This window comes from Homo sapiens, chromosome 6 (assembly GCF_000001405.40).
Source record: "Homo sapiens chromosome 6, GRCh38.p14 Primary Assembly".
Lineage (NCBI taxonomy): Eukaryota > Metazoa > Chordata > Mammalia > Primates > Hominidae > Homo > Homo sapiens.
In genome coordinates, this window is record NC_000006.12 from 161,041,207 (window position 1) to 161,057,438 (window position 16,232).

General features: G+C 37.6%; 1 protein-coding gene across 7 annotated transcripts in view, besides 1 other annotated feature; it reads left to right on the forward strand.

Moving 5' to 3' along the window:
• The window catches only part of MAP3K4 (mitogen-activated protein kinase kinase kinase 4), a 125,612-nt gene that overhangs the window by 49,438 nt on the left and 59,942 nt on the right, over positions 1-16,232 (forward strand). For all 7 annotated transcript variants that reach the window (NR_120425.2, NM_001291958.2, NM_005922.4 and 4 more), the window contains exon 3: positions 7,410-8,773. Coding sequence is in view for 5 of the 7 variants with exons in the window: in NM_005922.4 (NP_005913.3) it covers positions 7,410-8,773 (1,364 nt within the window). In the remaining 2 variants the exon portion in view is untranslated. The remainder of the gene's footprint in view (positions 1-7,409; positions 8,774-16,232) is intronic.
• Positions 2,077-2,277: a silencer, noted in NCBI's record as "peak6300 fragment used in MPRA reporter construct". NCBI's record gives its function as "represses an SCP1 promoter by STARR-seq MPRAs in K562 erythroleukemia cells {active_cell/tissue: K562}" and the evidence as "EXISTENCE:reporter gene assay evidence [ECO:0000049][PMID:32103011]".

Here is a 16,232-nt window from a genome sequence, read left to right on the forward strand (position 1 = left end):
GCTCTAGGATTCACTTTCTCAGGACCCAACCTGACTACCTATCGGCAAATCCATGAATGCTGACCACGCTGATGCCTTCCCAGCACCTGTCTGTGGGTAACTATCTCTTAACAGGAGCCCCTGGGGGCTGGAGTGCAGGCTACTGGCATCTCTACGCTGCCAGTCATCCCTGGTCCTTCCCCTAACCCTGCCGAGGCCCAGGACCCTCAGCCCACAGGCATCTGTGAGGGAGCAAGGAAGTGAACCCCTGAGATACGGCCATTTGCAGGGCTGTCGCATGGAGGACTTGCCTCTAGGGGCTCAGCTGGTATGGGGGCAAGGGTAGGGCCAGGAGCCTGTTGTCGGCTAAGGCTCCAGAGAGGACCACGGCCATTGCAGCAGCAGCTTTAGATCTGGTGACTTTCAGGAGCACAGGAAATCATCTTCCTGATGCCTCGGACATGGCCCCCAGGTGCACTTGGGCCTCAAGTGGGGCTGCCCTGTGCAGCCACTCCCACTACAGCTTGTGCAGGGCTTTAAGCCCAGTGCCTTGTCTTGGACCTTTTAGACCAGTGTGGCTGTTACATAGAGAGTTGACGAGCAGAAACTGGTATCTCCACTTCAGGTGTGGGCTACTTGTGATACCAGACGGACAGAAGGTGGACAGACTCCAACCATGGACAGGCAGATGCTCTCAGGGAGGGTAAAGGCCTTGAGTTATTGTTTCTTTTTTTTTTTTTCTTTTTTTTTTTTTTAGAGATGGGGTCTCGCTATGTTGCCCAGACTGGCCCGGAACCTCTGGACTCAAGTGATCCTCCCGCCTCAGCTTCCAGAGTAGCTGACCCTCCTGGTGCGTGTCACCACCACAAGTTTCAGGCCTTCTTTTAAAGGGCTTTTATGTGATTAAGTCAGGCCCACTCAAGAAAATCTCCCTTTTGATTAAACAAAAATGAGCTGGCTAAGGACTTGAATTATATCTACACAGTCCCTTCTTAGCAGCAGGATGTTAGTGTATGTTTGAACAGTGGAGAGAAGAGGCTGTGTACTACAAAATGGCTGCTGCATCTCATGGCCCAGCCTTCACCAAAAGCTGAAAATTCCTGTCTTATTGGGAAAACTTTCTTAATTTATATGATAGTTTAAAAAAAGGCATTTTATCTAAAGACTGTGTTTGAGTGTTGGGTAAGGATGATTAGCTCTGCATTACCTGAAAGTCTGCTATCTGACGTCCCAGTTGATGTAACCTACCAGGTAAACTCGAGTGAACTCAGTGAACAGGCTTGATTTCATACTGTGGTGAGTGTTAAGTTTAACACCACAGGAGCTAGCTGCGGTGTTATTTGAGATTATGCTTTTGGATAATGGTAGTCATTACCAATTTATAGCAATTAAGATTTTGATACGTTTTGGACAATATTTAGTCAAATATAACTGTTTGTTCTTAAGGTTGGTTTAAGAGACAGTCAAACCATTTTTTTCCTTAAATGTTTGTTTTCTTTTTAATATAGCAGAAGGAAGTACATTCAGTTTATCTCATAGTTTAAGTAGGTGAAATAGGAATTTAAAAGACACCCAAGCCAAAACCCTTTCCAGGGCATTGCTGGGCGATCATTGTCAGCTTCATTTTGCATTTCTATTCTAGCACTGCCATAGCGGGATGGTCATCAGCCATAGCTGGGTTACAGAAGTAGAGCAAATATTTTGCAATTTATATGAGAATTTGCACACACACACACACACACACACACACACACACATCCCTGTTAGGAAATATCTCAAGGTGTGTGTGTGTGCATGCATGCGTGTGCCTATATATATGTGTGTGTAAATGTGTGTATCTGCTAACAGTAGTGAAATTAGAATGTTTGCTTTTTAAAGAATATCATACTGATGTAAAATGGAGCTGGTAAAATGGTTACAAATCAGATTCAATCTATATAGCTAGTGAAATGTTTGTGTCAACCAGAGTGGATTTAAATCCATATTTCAGCTCTTTAGTCTAAACTTAGCCTGACTTTCAGGGTCCTGGTTTGTGTTTCCAGGCTTCCATATACAGGCTCAGTGTTCAGCCACACTCTTTTCTTTGCTGCCCTTGTGTCTCTTCTTTGCTGGCTTCAGATATGCTCTTGCCTTCTTTACTTCCCTTATTTAAGCTTCCATTCTTCGAGGCCCCAAATCAAGTACTTGCTTTTACTTTAAGCCTTTACAGACTAGTTAGCCTGTGTAATCTTTTGTGGTACTCGCTGTCTTAGCCTTTCCTTGGTCAGTTGGTACTGCCTTGCAAACACCTTTGACAAGTCCAAGGATGGTGTGGTGGCACCAACTTGGGCTAGGACCCCTGTTCTGACATTAACCATGTGTCTAACCATCTGTGTTCTGTGATAATCTTCATCATCATGTTGTTACGAAAATTATGACAATGTCTGTGAAGCCCTTACCTGGAAAATGGAAGCTGGATAAAGCAATTTCTCAAAATGTGGAGCCATTGTAGCCATGTCAGAGATACGTGCACTTTAGCAGGAACGCAGTGATTTCGAACATACACTGAAATTTGAGAAGCTTGAGCTAGATGATCTCTAAGTCCCTTCAGGTTGCTGACTTGTCTGGTATTCTAGTTCATCATTACTCTGAAGATCATCTCATACTTAAAGATTATCCATCTGTTTACATCTCATTTGAGAGCTCAAATAAGGCTGGTTTCTAAAATTTGGACAATATGTATATGGGAGAACATAAAAATTGCAAGAGTTTGATTAAAAATACAATTAATACATATTCTAAAGAGCCATTTTTAGTTGTAGATGGTGGGAATTCATTTGTTTGTCTTATATCCGTCAGATGAACCATATTGCTTGTCATTGGTTCCTTTCAGTTTCATTATAAAGTTTTCTTTTAAAAAAATTTTTATGTTCTTCTGATTTTACCAGAATTATTGGTGATTGGCCAAAGGAAAAAGTGTTCCAGAGGTTTGCTTTAATTGTGCTACAAAAATCACACCATTTCATTTATAGTCACTTGGGAGATCAGGTGTCCCATTCATCAAGTTATTAAGAACTATTTTTGTAGTCCTGTAATTAGAACTTGCCAAATAAAACATTCTATATAGCTAACTCCTGTACTTTTTATTCATTTTCCTTTTCAGAATTCTGCTCTGTTTCCATTTGACTTTTGTTAATTGCAAAGGAATTTAGTATTAATAGGAAACCAAAAAACAAGCACACCTGTCCATCAGTAATAGGCTTTTGGTTGTTATTAAAAAGTTCCTTAGTCATGTCAGAGTGGGTAAAGACAAAATGTAAAAATGCTCAGGGAAATGACTAAGTCTATAGACTACCCCCGCACCCAACACCCTAGTGTTGTTCTCAGATCTCCCTTAAGTCATAAGTCCCTTATGATTTTATAGAGGCCTAACTGGTCATCAGTTGCCAGAAAGCACTCTTGGATTTACTCTCTGTGTCAGTCCATTTTGCGTTGGCTATAAAGGAATACTTGAGACTGGGTAATGTGTAAAGAAAGAGGTGTATTTGGCTCATGGTTCTGTATGCTATACAAGCGTGGCACCAATATCAACTCAGCTTCTGGTGAAGCCTCAAGAAGCTTTTACTCATGGTGGAAGGTGAAGAGGAAGCAGGCATGTCACATGGAGAGAGAGGGAACAAGAGAGAGCTCTCACATGAACTAATAGAGCGAGGACTGGCTGGTTCCCGTGGGGAGGGCACTAAGCCATCCATGAGGAATCTGCCCCCATGACCCAGACATCTCTCATCAGGCCCCACTTCCAACACTGGGGGTCACATTTCAGCATGAGATTTGGAGGGGGCAAATATACAAACCAAATCACCCTCTCCTTCTGTCACAAGTATATTATTCTAAAAATGTAGCTACTGCTGAGGTAGAGTAATTGGTATATCCTTTTTGCACAGTAGCTAGACACGAGTTTGTCTATTTTAAGTTCGAATTGCGTCATTATTTAAACTAAGATGTATGAATTTATATTTTGTGTATATTTTTCCAAAACCAACTTGGGTTTTGTTTTGGGGTGGGGGGGAACAAAAAGCTTCTCTGTCCCATCTTGCTCCTTTCCCAATTTGCTTTTCCTTAAACCTACTATGTAGGTCCAAATATTAAACCATTGCTTTATCTGAACACAAAATTTCAAAAAATTGTGTAATAGACTGTTTTGTATGCTGTGAGATAAACTTAACAAGATTTGTATTTAACCTATAAAAGTTACTTTTTCAGGCTTGCTGAAATGAGATTATGTTTATGTGGAAAAATGGGATTGTGGCATTTTTTCTTAGATTGCTTTCATTGTTGGAATAAAGGTCTAGGGTGAGAAGCTTCATCTGTTATTATTTTCATGTTTTGCCCCTGGTAAGTGTAGCACAGATTTGGAATAATGCTTGTAGCCAGTCTTCTGGGACTATTAAAGTCATTTAATCCTTAGTTTTCACTTAGGACCTTTCAATCATAGATTAGAAGAACTTGAATAAATTATATAAGAAAAGTAATATTTTTTCACTCTCAACTATTACTTTCCAATTATAAATTGTATGCAGATAGTCTGTGGCCATTATCAATAATGCACCACATTAGTTCTATAAAGTATTTTAAAAAGCCCAACGCCTGAGCCAACAAGATTGTTTTTTATTTCACAATTTTTTGTTTTCTTTGACTCAAAATCATTTATTTGGGTGTACATAATAGTTAATACACATTCTATTCTAGGTCTTCATTGCCTTTCTTCTGCACACTTTTCTTGGATGTTCTTATCTACTATCACGATATTAAATAATATCTGTACATACTAATAATTTCCAAATCCATTTCTCTGGATTTCTCTCCTAAGCCCAACATGTGTGTTTTTTTAGTTACCTATAGATATTTCCACGTGTATGTCCCATAGGCACGTCAAATTCAGTGTATTAGAAACTGAACTCATTTTCTTTACCTCCAGTCCTACACAGTGATACAATGTATATGTCATTTTGTGTTTCCCAGTAATAAAGTATAATATGAATTATCTTGAAAAATATAGTGGAGTTAAATGTGGAAGCACTGGTCATTTTTGGTTTCAAAATACCATGGGTTAACCAAATAGTATGTATGTGCTCTGTTAATAAAGGTATAAAAAACACAGTTAAACGCATCAGAGCAAGAGAATTAAAGTTGGTCTAAGCAATTTTTTTATATAAATAAGAGTTGATAAGCATTTATAGCTAGAAACAATAAAACTGTGAAGAAATTTTCTTAAATGGACTATATGAAAAGTTTAAAGACATTTAGAAGTAGATTAGTACTAAAGATAAAAATTCTATCTTAAAAATTTTAAATTTAAAAAATAATAATAATAGTAGTTTGTATACTAAAATACAGCAAAAAATCTCTATGGACAGATTGGTTTAAAACCTTTTTTGATGGATCATAAAGTAAATTTAAGGCAAGTTTAATATAAGAAAAACCAAGCTATAAGTGCTCTTTGGGAAATTTGTTTAAAAATCCTTATTTTAAGACTAATTTGAATCGGTTAGGAAGTAAATTGGTTTTAAGCAAATTTTCATTGGTGCCTTGGTTTGTGGTATATTGGTTTGTAACCCATGTAAATATACCCTATTCCATCAAATCTGAAGATATACTAATATGTCTTTAGATATTACATTCACAACTAATCTCTTATATATTCCCAACTAATCACCTAAAACTAGGTGATATTATATACTAAGAAAATTATATAATAATTTCTTAGTATAATTATTATATTAATATATATAATAAAATTCTTAGTATATAAGAAATATATACTAAGAGATTATAATATATTCTAAGGTAAAAACAGCTTATAATTGATGGTGTGTTCTTATAATTGGAATTTTTATTTATTTAAAGAGATCTTTTATACTTTCTGATATGTAGATATATATTTCACTTATGCATATATATATATATATATATATATATATGTTTAAAAAAATGGGCCAGGCATAGTGGCTCATGCCTGTAATCTCAGCACTTTGGGAGACAGAGGTGGGAGGATTGTTTGAGCCCAGGAATTTGGGACCAGCTTAGGAAACATAGTGGGATCCTGTCTCTACCCAAAAAAAAAAATTAGCTGGGTGTGGTGATGCGTGCCTGTGGTTCTAGCTACTTGGGAGGCTGAGGCGGGAGGATCACTCGAGCCCAGGAAGTTGAGGCTGCACTCCAGCCTGTCTCAGAAAAAAAGAAAAATGTAAATGAAAAATATTGGCAAATATGTCCCTAAAACTTACTTATATCATCATTGATTATATATAACGTTCTAATTTCAGAGATGTTAATGTATGAAAAAATGTGTGTCCTAGATTCAATGAAATAAACTATGCCTTGAGTGTAGAGGGTAGATTGAGATGGCGTTATAGGTTTGGGCATTATCGATATATGATGTGGAAATGAATGAGATCACCCAGGGAGAAGAGATCTAAGATTAGCACTTGGAGAAACATTAACATTTTATGTAGTGAGCAAAGCTCCAAGGAGGTATTTGAAAAGAAGGGACTAACTTAAGGAAGTGTAAGAACCCAGAAGCAACAGAATGAAAGGATTTCAGTAACGTAGAGCAATTAATAGTGTTAAAAGTGCCATACAGGATGTATGTGTGTTCATTTTAAAGCTTGGAATCAGATTATAGAACCTCTTCTAGATGTTTGAAGGAAGTGGGTGGTTTTTGCTTTTTTCGCATTAATTGTAAATGATTTTACATGGCAGTATAACATACTAAGCAAATTATACCAAATTAGTCTATATGTCTTCAGTCTTGCTAATTTTAAATTTAAAATGTTATTGCCCACTTGTTTGTGGCAAAGGAGAAATAAAGGAATAGAATAAACTAACGTCAGTGTTTTTGTCTGTCAACTGTCTTTCAGTTTTTTATGAGAATAATCTTAGGGTGCCTTAAGTATTCTTGCATCAATGTGCCTAATTTTATCAATGAGAAAAGTAATCCAGATAATTTACGTGATTTCCTCTTAAGTTTACACATTTAGCTAATGACAAATGCAGGAATTAAATATATTTTCTCATCCAGGTGTCCGTCAGATCTCCCATGCTGTTTCTTCCTCCTTAAATTGAAGGTGATTACTTACGGAAATTTGGTTAAATGATTTGATAACTATGCTTTGTAGCATAGAGAGAAATAAACAGCTAGTTTAGGTAATTAGTTGTGAATATAAGAGAATACAGCAAATACTGGAAAAATGGATAATTTTTTTTAAAATATAGAAAATGTCATATATATTTTTTGATTCCTTTAATTTTTAGGATATGGTATGCTTTTTTTTCTTCCATTAGCAGTCTGAAAATATAAATATGTGTGAATACCAGTTTTATTGAAAATATTGAGAGTAGCTTCATATTTTAGAGTTATATAATGTTCTGTTTATTTTTTTTTTTAATAGAAAAAATGAATGCACCAAATCAGCCTCCACATAAAGACACTGGAAAAACAGTGGAGAATGTGGAAGAATACAGCTATAAGCAGGAGAAAAAGATCCGAGCAGCTCTTAGAACAACAGAGCGTGATCGTAAAAAAAATGTACAGTGCTCATTCATGTTAGACTCAGTGGGTGGATCTTTGCCAAAAAAATCAATTCCAGATGTGGATCTCAATAAGCCTTACCTCAGCCTTGGCTGTAGCAATGCTAAGCTTCCAGTATCTGTGCCCATGCCTATAGCCAGACCTGCACGCCAGACTTCTAGGACTGACTGTCCAGCAGATCGTTTAAAGTTTTTTGAAACTTTACGACTTTTGCTAAAGCTTACCTCAGTCTCAAAGAAAAAAGACAGGGAGCAAAGAGGACAAGAAAATACGTCTGGTTTCTGGCTTAACCGATCTAACGAACTGATCTGGTTAGAGCTACAAGCCTGGCATGCAGGACGGACAATTAACGACCAGGACTTCTTTTTATATACAGCCCGTCAAGCCATCCCAGATATTATTAATGAAATCCTTACTTTCAAAGTCGACTATGGGAGCTTCGCCTTTGTTAGAGATAGAGCTGGTTTTAATGGTACTTCAGTAGAAGGGCAGTGCAAAGCCACTCCTGGAACAAAGATTGTAGGTTACTCAACACATCATGAGCATCTCCAACGCCAGAGGGTCTCATTTGAGCAGGTAAAACGGATAATGGAGCTGCTAGAGTACATAGAAGCACTTTATCCATCATTGCAGGCTCTTCAGAAGGACTATGAAAAATATGCTGCAAAAGACTTCCAGGACAGGGTGCAGGCACTCTGTTTGTGGTTAAACATCACAAAAGACTTAAATCAGAAATTAAGGATTATGGGCACTGTTTTGGGCATCAAGAATTTATCAGACATTGGCTGGCCAGTGTTTGAAATCCCTTCCCCTCGACCATCCAAAGGTAATGAGCCGGAGTATGAGGGTGATGACACAGAAGGAGAATTAAAGGAGTTGGAAAGTAGTACGGATGAGAGTGAAGAAGAACAAATCTCTGATCCTAGGGTACCGGAAATCAGACAGCCCATAGATAACAGCTTCGACATCCAGTCGCGGGACTGCATATCCAAGAAGCTTGAGAGGCTCGAATCTGAGGATGATTCTCTTGGCTGGGGAGCACCAGACTGGAGCACAGAAGCAGGCTTTAGTAGACATTGTCTGACTTCTATTTATAGACCATTTGTAGACAAAGCACTGAAGCAGATGGGGTTAAGAAAGTTAATTTTAAGACTTCACAAGCTAATGGATGGTTCCTTGCAAAGGGCACGTATAGCATTGGTAAAGAACGATCGTCCAGTGGAGGTAGGTTTCCAGTAGGTATTAATACAATGATATCCTTAGTTCCATTTATTTATTGCAAATTATAATGTTGGTGTTATGTACTTTCATATTCTAATATTTTTGAACACAAATGGCAGTTATAAATTGCACATTTAAGCATTTCTGTAAAGTACTATGATTAAATAGATCTATGAAAACTGCATGAAATTTAGTGAATTAAGTGCAGGGTGGTATGTGGAGGGAATAAGTTCAACCACGTAAATACAGGATGGCAAAGGACAGGCTGGGTATAAACAAAAATGGAAGGAAGAAAGCCATAGTCATGGATGACCACAAGCTGCATGTGAGTCAGGAAAAAAGTCCACGTCACACTCAGGTGTTTATAAATGAATAGGGCGCCCAAGGTCAAGGAGAGAGTTCTTTCTCTATCCTTTGAAGTTGTTTTCTCTCTTTTGATTAGCATGTCAAGTTTTGGTCACTGTATTTTAAAGAGATGTAAATTATAGAGAAATGTCAGAATGATCAAGGGGAAAAAGCCAACACTATCTCGCAAGGTTAAAGTGTTCGGTGCAGGTGATGAAAGTTTAAGGGAAGTCCTGATTTTTGTCAGATATGTGTTTCGATATGTGTAGATTTTTGTGAGAGGAATGTGCCCACTAGAGGAAGTGACTTGAAAACAGTATAGATTTGCTTTTGATAGCTTGACGTGTTATAAATTCCTTATTGTAAAGGGTGGTAATACTAGACAAGGGCATTTTGTGGGATATCATTCTTGAGAGTCCAAAATAGTACTGTACAAGTGATTTTGCTTTTCTGGTGAGTTTGCATGTTCGTCTGGCTAAAAGTGAAACCCAAATCTTTGAAATACCTTATACCCGTGTTAAGTCTGTGATTCTGAATTTTAGTAGCTGTATACATACATATGTACAATCCCCTTGGTATCAGAGGTGGTTTGGTTTTGGGACTTCCCACGGATCCCAAAATCCGAAAATGCTCAAGTCCCTCATACAAAATGATGCAGTATTTGCATATAACCAATGCACAACCTCGTATGCTTTAATCTCGAGATTATGTGTAATGCCTTATGTAATATAAATGCTGTGTAAATGGTTGTTAATACTGTATAGTTTGGGGAATAATGGCAAGAAAAAAGTTTGTACATGTTTAATACAGATGTAGTTTTTCTTCCCAAATATTTCTGATCTGCAGTTGGTTGAATTCATGGATGTGGAACCCACGGATATGGAGAGCCAACTGTATATACTTGTTATTTTTATTTTTTTAACTTCATTTTTTTTTTACACAGCCTGGCTTGCTTTAAATTCATTAACGATAAACAACTTGGAAACTATGGAAAACACCTGAAGAGAACTTGAGTTTGCAAGATTTTAATTTTTTATTCTGACAGCCGGATTATGAGCCCTTAGGAGGAACGGGTTAAGCATTCACATAAATTCAGGAAGATGTTTACAACATGAACCAGTGCTTTGTAGCTATATTTTAAGAGATTTACTTTGAATATTATTTTGATTAGAAATCTTAAACATGAATGGCTGGAGTGGTTTAATTTCATTAAGGACATATGTTGGTAAGACAGGATTGATGTTTAATTTGTATTGTGACCACTGGTTTTGAAGTAACATGAGTGAAGAAAAAAGTCCTGGCAGTACCAACATCCCTTGGTATCTCATCCCAGGGGGATTTGTTCCAGGACCCCCATGGACACTCAAATCCTTGGATGCTCCAGTCCCTCATATAAAATGGTGTAGTATTTACATACAACCTATGTGCATCCTCCTGTATGCTTTAAATCATCTATAGATTACTTATAATACCTAATACAATGTAAATGCTGTGTAAATAGTTGTTATACTGTATCTTTTTTGTTTGTATTATTACTATTACTGTTTTAGAGACAAGATCTCACTACGTTGCCCAGGCTGGACTCAAACTCGTGGGCTAAAACAGTCCTCCTGCCTTAGCCTCCTGAGTAGCTTGTATTACTTTTTATTGTTGTATTCTTATTTTTAATGTTTTTTCAAACATTCTTGATCTGCGGATGCATATCCCAGGGTTTCAGAGGGCCGACTGTATAACCTCACCTCTAATTCAGTGGTTCTTATAGGAGAGCAGCACATGAGAAGAGGCCACGGTGGGGCGGGGGTGAGTTGGACATGTCGGGCTTCCGTAAACTGCTTCACCCACCCTCCCTCCCCAAATTGTCTTCCTTCCTCTCCAGGCTCTTCGTGGTGATTAACTATTGCTACTAATGAGGATTGTATCCCTTAGATATGTTATAGCAAGAAAAGATTGAGAACACGTGCCCTACATCTTATATTAGAACTCATGTTGAAAAAAGACAGTAATAGTTTCCCCAGAGTTCTGAATTCTCATCTGAGTTGTAGTTCTTTGGTTTGACCAATTGAGATTTCGCTGAAGAGGTCATCTTTGTTATAGAAGAAAAGAAACACGAATTCAAAGTTTATAAGGTATATAACTGAAAGACTTTATTAGAATTTTGTGTAGGTTGTTTGCTTTTCAAAAAATGAACTACAGAAGCCCCTGTTGTTTTAAATTTTGGTTCATAAGATGCTAAGTGTTCATCAGATAATGAAAGAGTAACAGAGAGCGAAAGTGGGACTTCTTCAGTATTGGGGATTAATCCAAACTAACAAAAGATAAGGCTCTACAATTCTAATTAACTTAGTGGGAAAGTAAGATTTTATTTTTATTCCCACTTTAGGAACATAATTTCTATAAAGGGAGGCGTGTGTGTGTGCGTGCTTGTGTGTGTATGTGTGTGAATATGTGTACAGTCCCCCACTCCCAGGTTTGTTTTAGTCGTTTTATTTGGTATGTCAGGAAAAGAGTCACAATTTTGAAGTCCATTAACTGGGTTTCATTTCTCACTGTGACCCTTTCTTACCATAGAACGTTGTGGATAGGAATCTTTCTGACTCGAAGCCTTTGCATTTATAGAGTGGGTATAATACTACCTTCTTACCTACCTCACAAGGTGGTTGTTGTGAGGCTGAAAAAGATAGGCGGTAAGTGGTGTTTTCATTCCCACACTGCTATAAAGAAATGCCTGAGACTGGGTAATTAATAAAGAAAAGAGGTTTAATTGGCTTATGGTCCCACAGATTGTATAGGAAGCATGGCAGGCAACATCAGCTTCTGGGGAGGCCTCAGGGAGCTATAGTCATGATGGAAGGCAAAGCCAGAGCAGGCACTTCTCATGGCTGGAGCACGGGCAGGGTGAAGGTGCTCCATTCTTTTAAACAACCAGATCTCTTGACAGCTCACTCACCATCATGAGAACAGCACCAATGGGATGGTACTAAACGGTCACCTCCCACCAGGCCCCACCCCCAACATTGGGGATTACTATTCAACATAGGGTGGGGACACAGATCCACATCTTATCAAATGGTAAAATGCTCTACAAATCAACCATAAACTTTTAGAAGTTTTATTACTTTTTCTTCCTTGAAGCTAACTGTAAATCCATATGGGTGCAACTGTATTTTTATTTTTAAGATATCTTCTGCCTTTTAACCTCTGCCAAATAATTGTACATTTTAAGGGCATACATTTTAGGCAGTAAAACCTTTTAGGTTTGAGGACTTTTTTGTTTGTTTGTTTGTTTTTGAGACAAAGTCTCATTCTGTTTCCTAGGCTGGAGTGTAATGGGAAGATCTCGGCTCACTGCAACCTCTGTCTCCCGGGTTCAGGCAATTCTCCTGTCTCAGCCTCTTGAGTAGCTGGGATTACAAGCGTGCACCACCATGCCTGGCTAATTTTTTGTGTTTTTAATAGAGACGGGGGTTTCACCATGTTGGCCAGGCTAGTCTTGAACTCCTGACCCCAAATGATCCACCTGCCTCCGCCTCCCAAAGTGCTGGGATTACAGGCGTGAGCCACTGCGCCTGGCTAGTGTTTTTGTTCTTAATTGTTAAAATATCTGAACTGACAAGGTACCACAGATTGTACATAATGCATATTTTGCAGTTTTTGTGGTTTCGTGATAATAGGAATGAATATAGGTGAAGGATTTTGTAGAAAAGAAGAAATACACGTGATGTTTGATTTTTCTTATCTATGTCTTTATATATTTTTTGATTACGTTACTTATAACCAGTGTTTGCAAAGCACATGTGATCTTACATTTAATTTCCCTTTGTAAGCATGCTTTACAAAATAATTTTTTTTTGAGACAGAGTTTCGCTCTTGTTGCCCAGGCTGGAGTGCAATGGCGCTATCTCAGCTCCCTGAGACCTTTGCCTTGGGGGTTCAGGCTATTCTCCTGCCTCAGCCTCCGGAGTAGCTGGGATTACAGGCATGCGCCACTATGCCTGGCTAATTTTTGTATTTTTAGTAGAGATGGTGTTTCACCATGTTGGTCAGGCTGGTCTCAAACTCCTGACCTCACATGATCCACCCGCCTTGGCCTCCCAAAGTGCTGGGATGATAGGTGTGAGCCACCGCGCCCGGCCCAAACTAATTTTTCTCTAAAACTTTATTAATATTTCAAAATATTTTAAAAGAACTGAACTAGCAATACTAAAAAAAAATCTGTTTGCAGTTTGTTTTCATAATATGAATGCCATAAATGCCTTTAATGATTTGTTCAAAATTATATGAAGTTGTAGCTCTGTACCTTCTGTAAATTGATTTCCTCAGGACACATTTCTAGTTACATAGGCAGTCTCTAATTGAAACAAATGGATTAGTTTCCAGAGTCCACTTGAATAGGCAGTTGTTTGGGATCTTGAAAATACTTATCTATAGAAACAGTGTTGTAAATAAGAGAGTCTCAGATTATCAAATGAAACTTATTTAAATCCATGTAACTGAACTAATAATACCAGCTGCAGTTTTATCCTGGCTGTAAGGACTACCATGATGGGAAAAAATAAGAGGAAACCTTACCCTCCCCCATATCCATTTGTGGACCCAGATACAATCCAAGATCTTTTTTATATTTTCTCATTTATCTTCTTCTTCTCTTATTCCATTGCTGTTTAGAACATCCCAGGATCTTATTGTTTGTACTTATTTTTCCACCTTGCTGTAATACCAGTTCTTCTAGTCTGAGTATTGTTGATCTTGGGTCTTAGGGATGAATGTATCAGCCATTTCATAATGTATCATGGTCTCTCAATGACAGGGATTGTCTTGCCTCCAACTCTTGCTCCTCTTTCATTAGATGTGCTTGTATGGTGACCCTTCCCAACCCTGCTTAAAAGTTAACAAGAGTCATCTCAGCAGTCCAGTAGTTTCCAGGTGTCCTTCCCAGCAGTTACTGTAGCTAAGGATGGGTTTTGTAATACTATTTACAGTTCAATTTAGCTTAGAAATTAAGACCAAGTAAACATATATAAAAGATTTATCCTTAATATCAAAACTACTGCATACAATTGTATTTTTTAGAGCAAACTTTTCATCTTGGAATAATATCAGATTGATAGAAAATTTGCAAAGATAGTACAGAATTCTTATATGCTCTTCATCCAGCACGCCTTAATATTGACTTCTCACTTACCCAATACATTTGTTAAAACTAATATATTAACATTGATACAAAGTGCTGTTAACTAAACTACAGACTTTTATTTGGATTTCCCACTTTTTCTAATAATTCCCTTTTCTGTTCTAGGAACCAGTCGAGGACACCACATTGCATTTAATTGTCATGTCCATGAATCTGGATTTGTCTGATATGTTCTCATGATTAGACTGGGGTGATGGGGCTTGGGAATGGATGCCACAGAGTTGAAATGCCCTAGTCGCATTACATTGTCACTGTTGATGTTAACCTTGATCACTTGGTTAAGGTGGTGTCTGCTAGGTTTCTCCAGGAGTTACTATTTTTTCCTTTCCATACTCCAATTCTTTGGAAGTAAGTCACCACACACAACCCACTCTCAAGGGGAGGGAAATTAATCTCTACCTCCTGGAAGGGGGAGTATCTAATGTATTATTTGGAATTTCTCCAGATGGAAGTTTTGCTTCTTCTCATTTATTTGGCCATTTATATCAGTATGGACTCATAAATGTTTGCTGTTGTTTTTACTTTGAATTATAATCCAGTACCATTGTTACTGATTTTGTTGCTCAGGCTGTTCTTGTTTTAGCCCATTGGAGCTCTTTCAGTTGCCTTCTGTGTCGTTTGATATGCTCCCCTCTTTTGTTGTATTATTTTCCTTTTGATTTGCTTTTTGAATCATTTCTTACTTTCTGGCACCACAAGATGCTCTGGGCTTGTCTTGTATTTTCCCTCGTTCTGTCCTAGGATCAGCCATTTCTCCAAGGAGCTCTGGTTCCTTTTACTGGATAATTGTATTTAGAAATGAAGATGTGGGCACTGGGTGTGTTCGGTGCTGTTGGGGTGTCATTGCTTTTAGGCCTTCTCAGTGATAGAATTAGAACGTACAGGTATGTCTTCTAACCTGTGTATACACACAGATTTATAATTCCCTATCTAAAATAATCATGAGTTCATACTGATGTCTTTCGCTCTGATTCAGCACAAGGTTCATTCCGACTTTCCTCCCTTGCTTATCTGTAACTTACTTCTCTTATAGTGAGAAACCTGGCTACCATTACTACAATTAATTACATGTTTGTTCAACCCTACCATACGTGTAAAGTAGTTTCAGAATTGCTAACCAGTACCCCTGTGAGGAATAAATTTATCAACTAGGGTGTAGTGTTTCAGTCAAGTTCCTTTTGTCTTTAGCCTTTTATAGTCAAAACACTATTCTCCAAAGTAACTTAGGTCAGCACCTTTTTCCTTCACCTTCCTCAGTGAGGTGGTATCATACTTTTGTAATTTAATTAGATTCATTTATTTCATCTGCGTTGCATCCTGGGATCCTCCAAAATCCTGATTGACTTTTTAAAATGTGCATACTCTAAAGTTCACTCTGTAATATATAGTTCTATGGGTTTTGTGCAATTTAAAATGTTAAATACAAAATACTGTAATATGGTTATTTTGTGCTCCTCCTTTTTGATTTCCTTATGAACTTTATTTTCAGAAGAATAAGATGAATATATTGTAATGTAATGTACAAAATGTATAATTGTCTGACTTTGTTGCCTCAAATACTGGGAATATTTTTGTTTTGATTACTGTCTTAATTGCTTTCTTTAGAATTAGAAACGATCATGTAGTTATTATAAATTTAATGGCCAATGAAATACTCTTTGTGTTTGGATTCTAACAATAGTTGTGCTAATTTTTTCCTGTACACACAGGAAACACTGAAGAGGTTGCCGTTTATATTCAAAGCAGACAAAGCATGTAGAAACTAGGAAATCAATAACAGCAGCTACCATTTATTGACTCTCACAGTGTTCCAGACTCAACAACCCTGTGAGGTGGTGCATTTTCCAAATGCAGAAACCAGTTTAGGTACAGTAGATAACTTTCACAAAAATCACAGAGCTATAGATTGTTAGAGGGATTCAAATT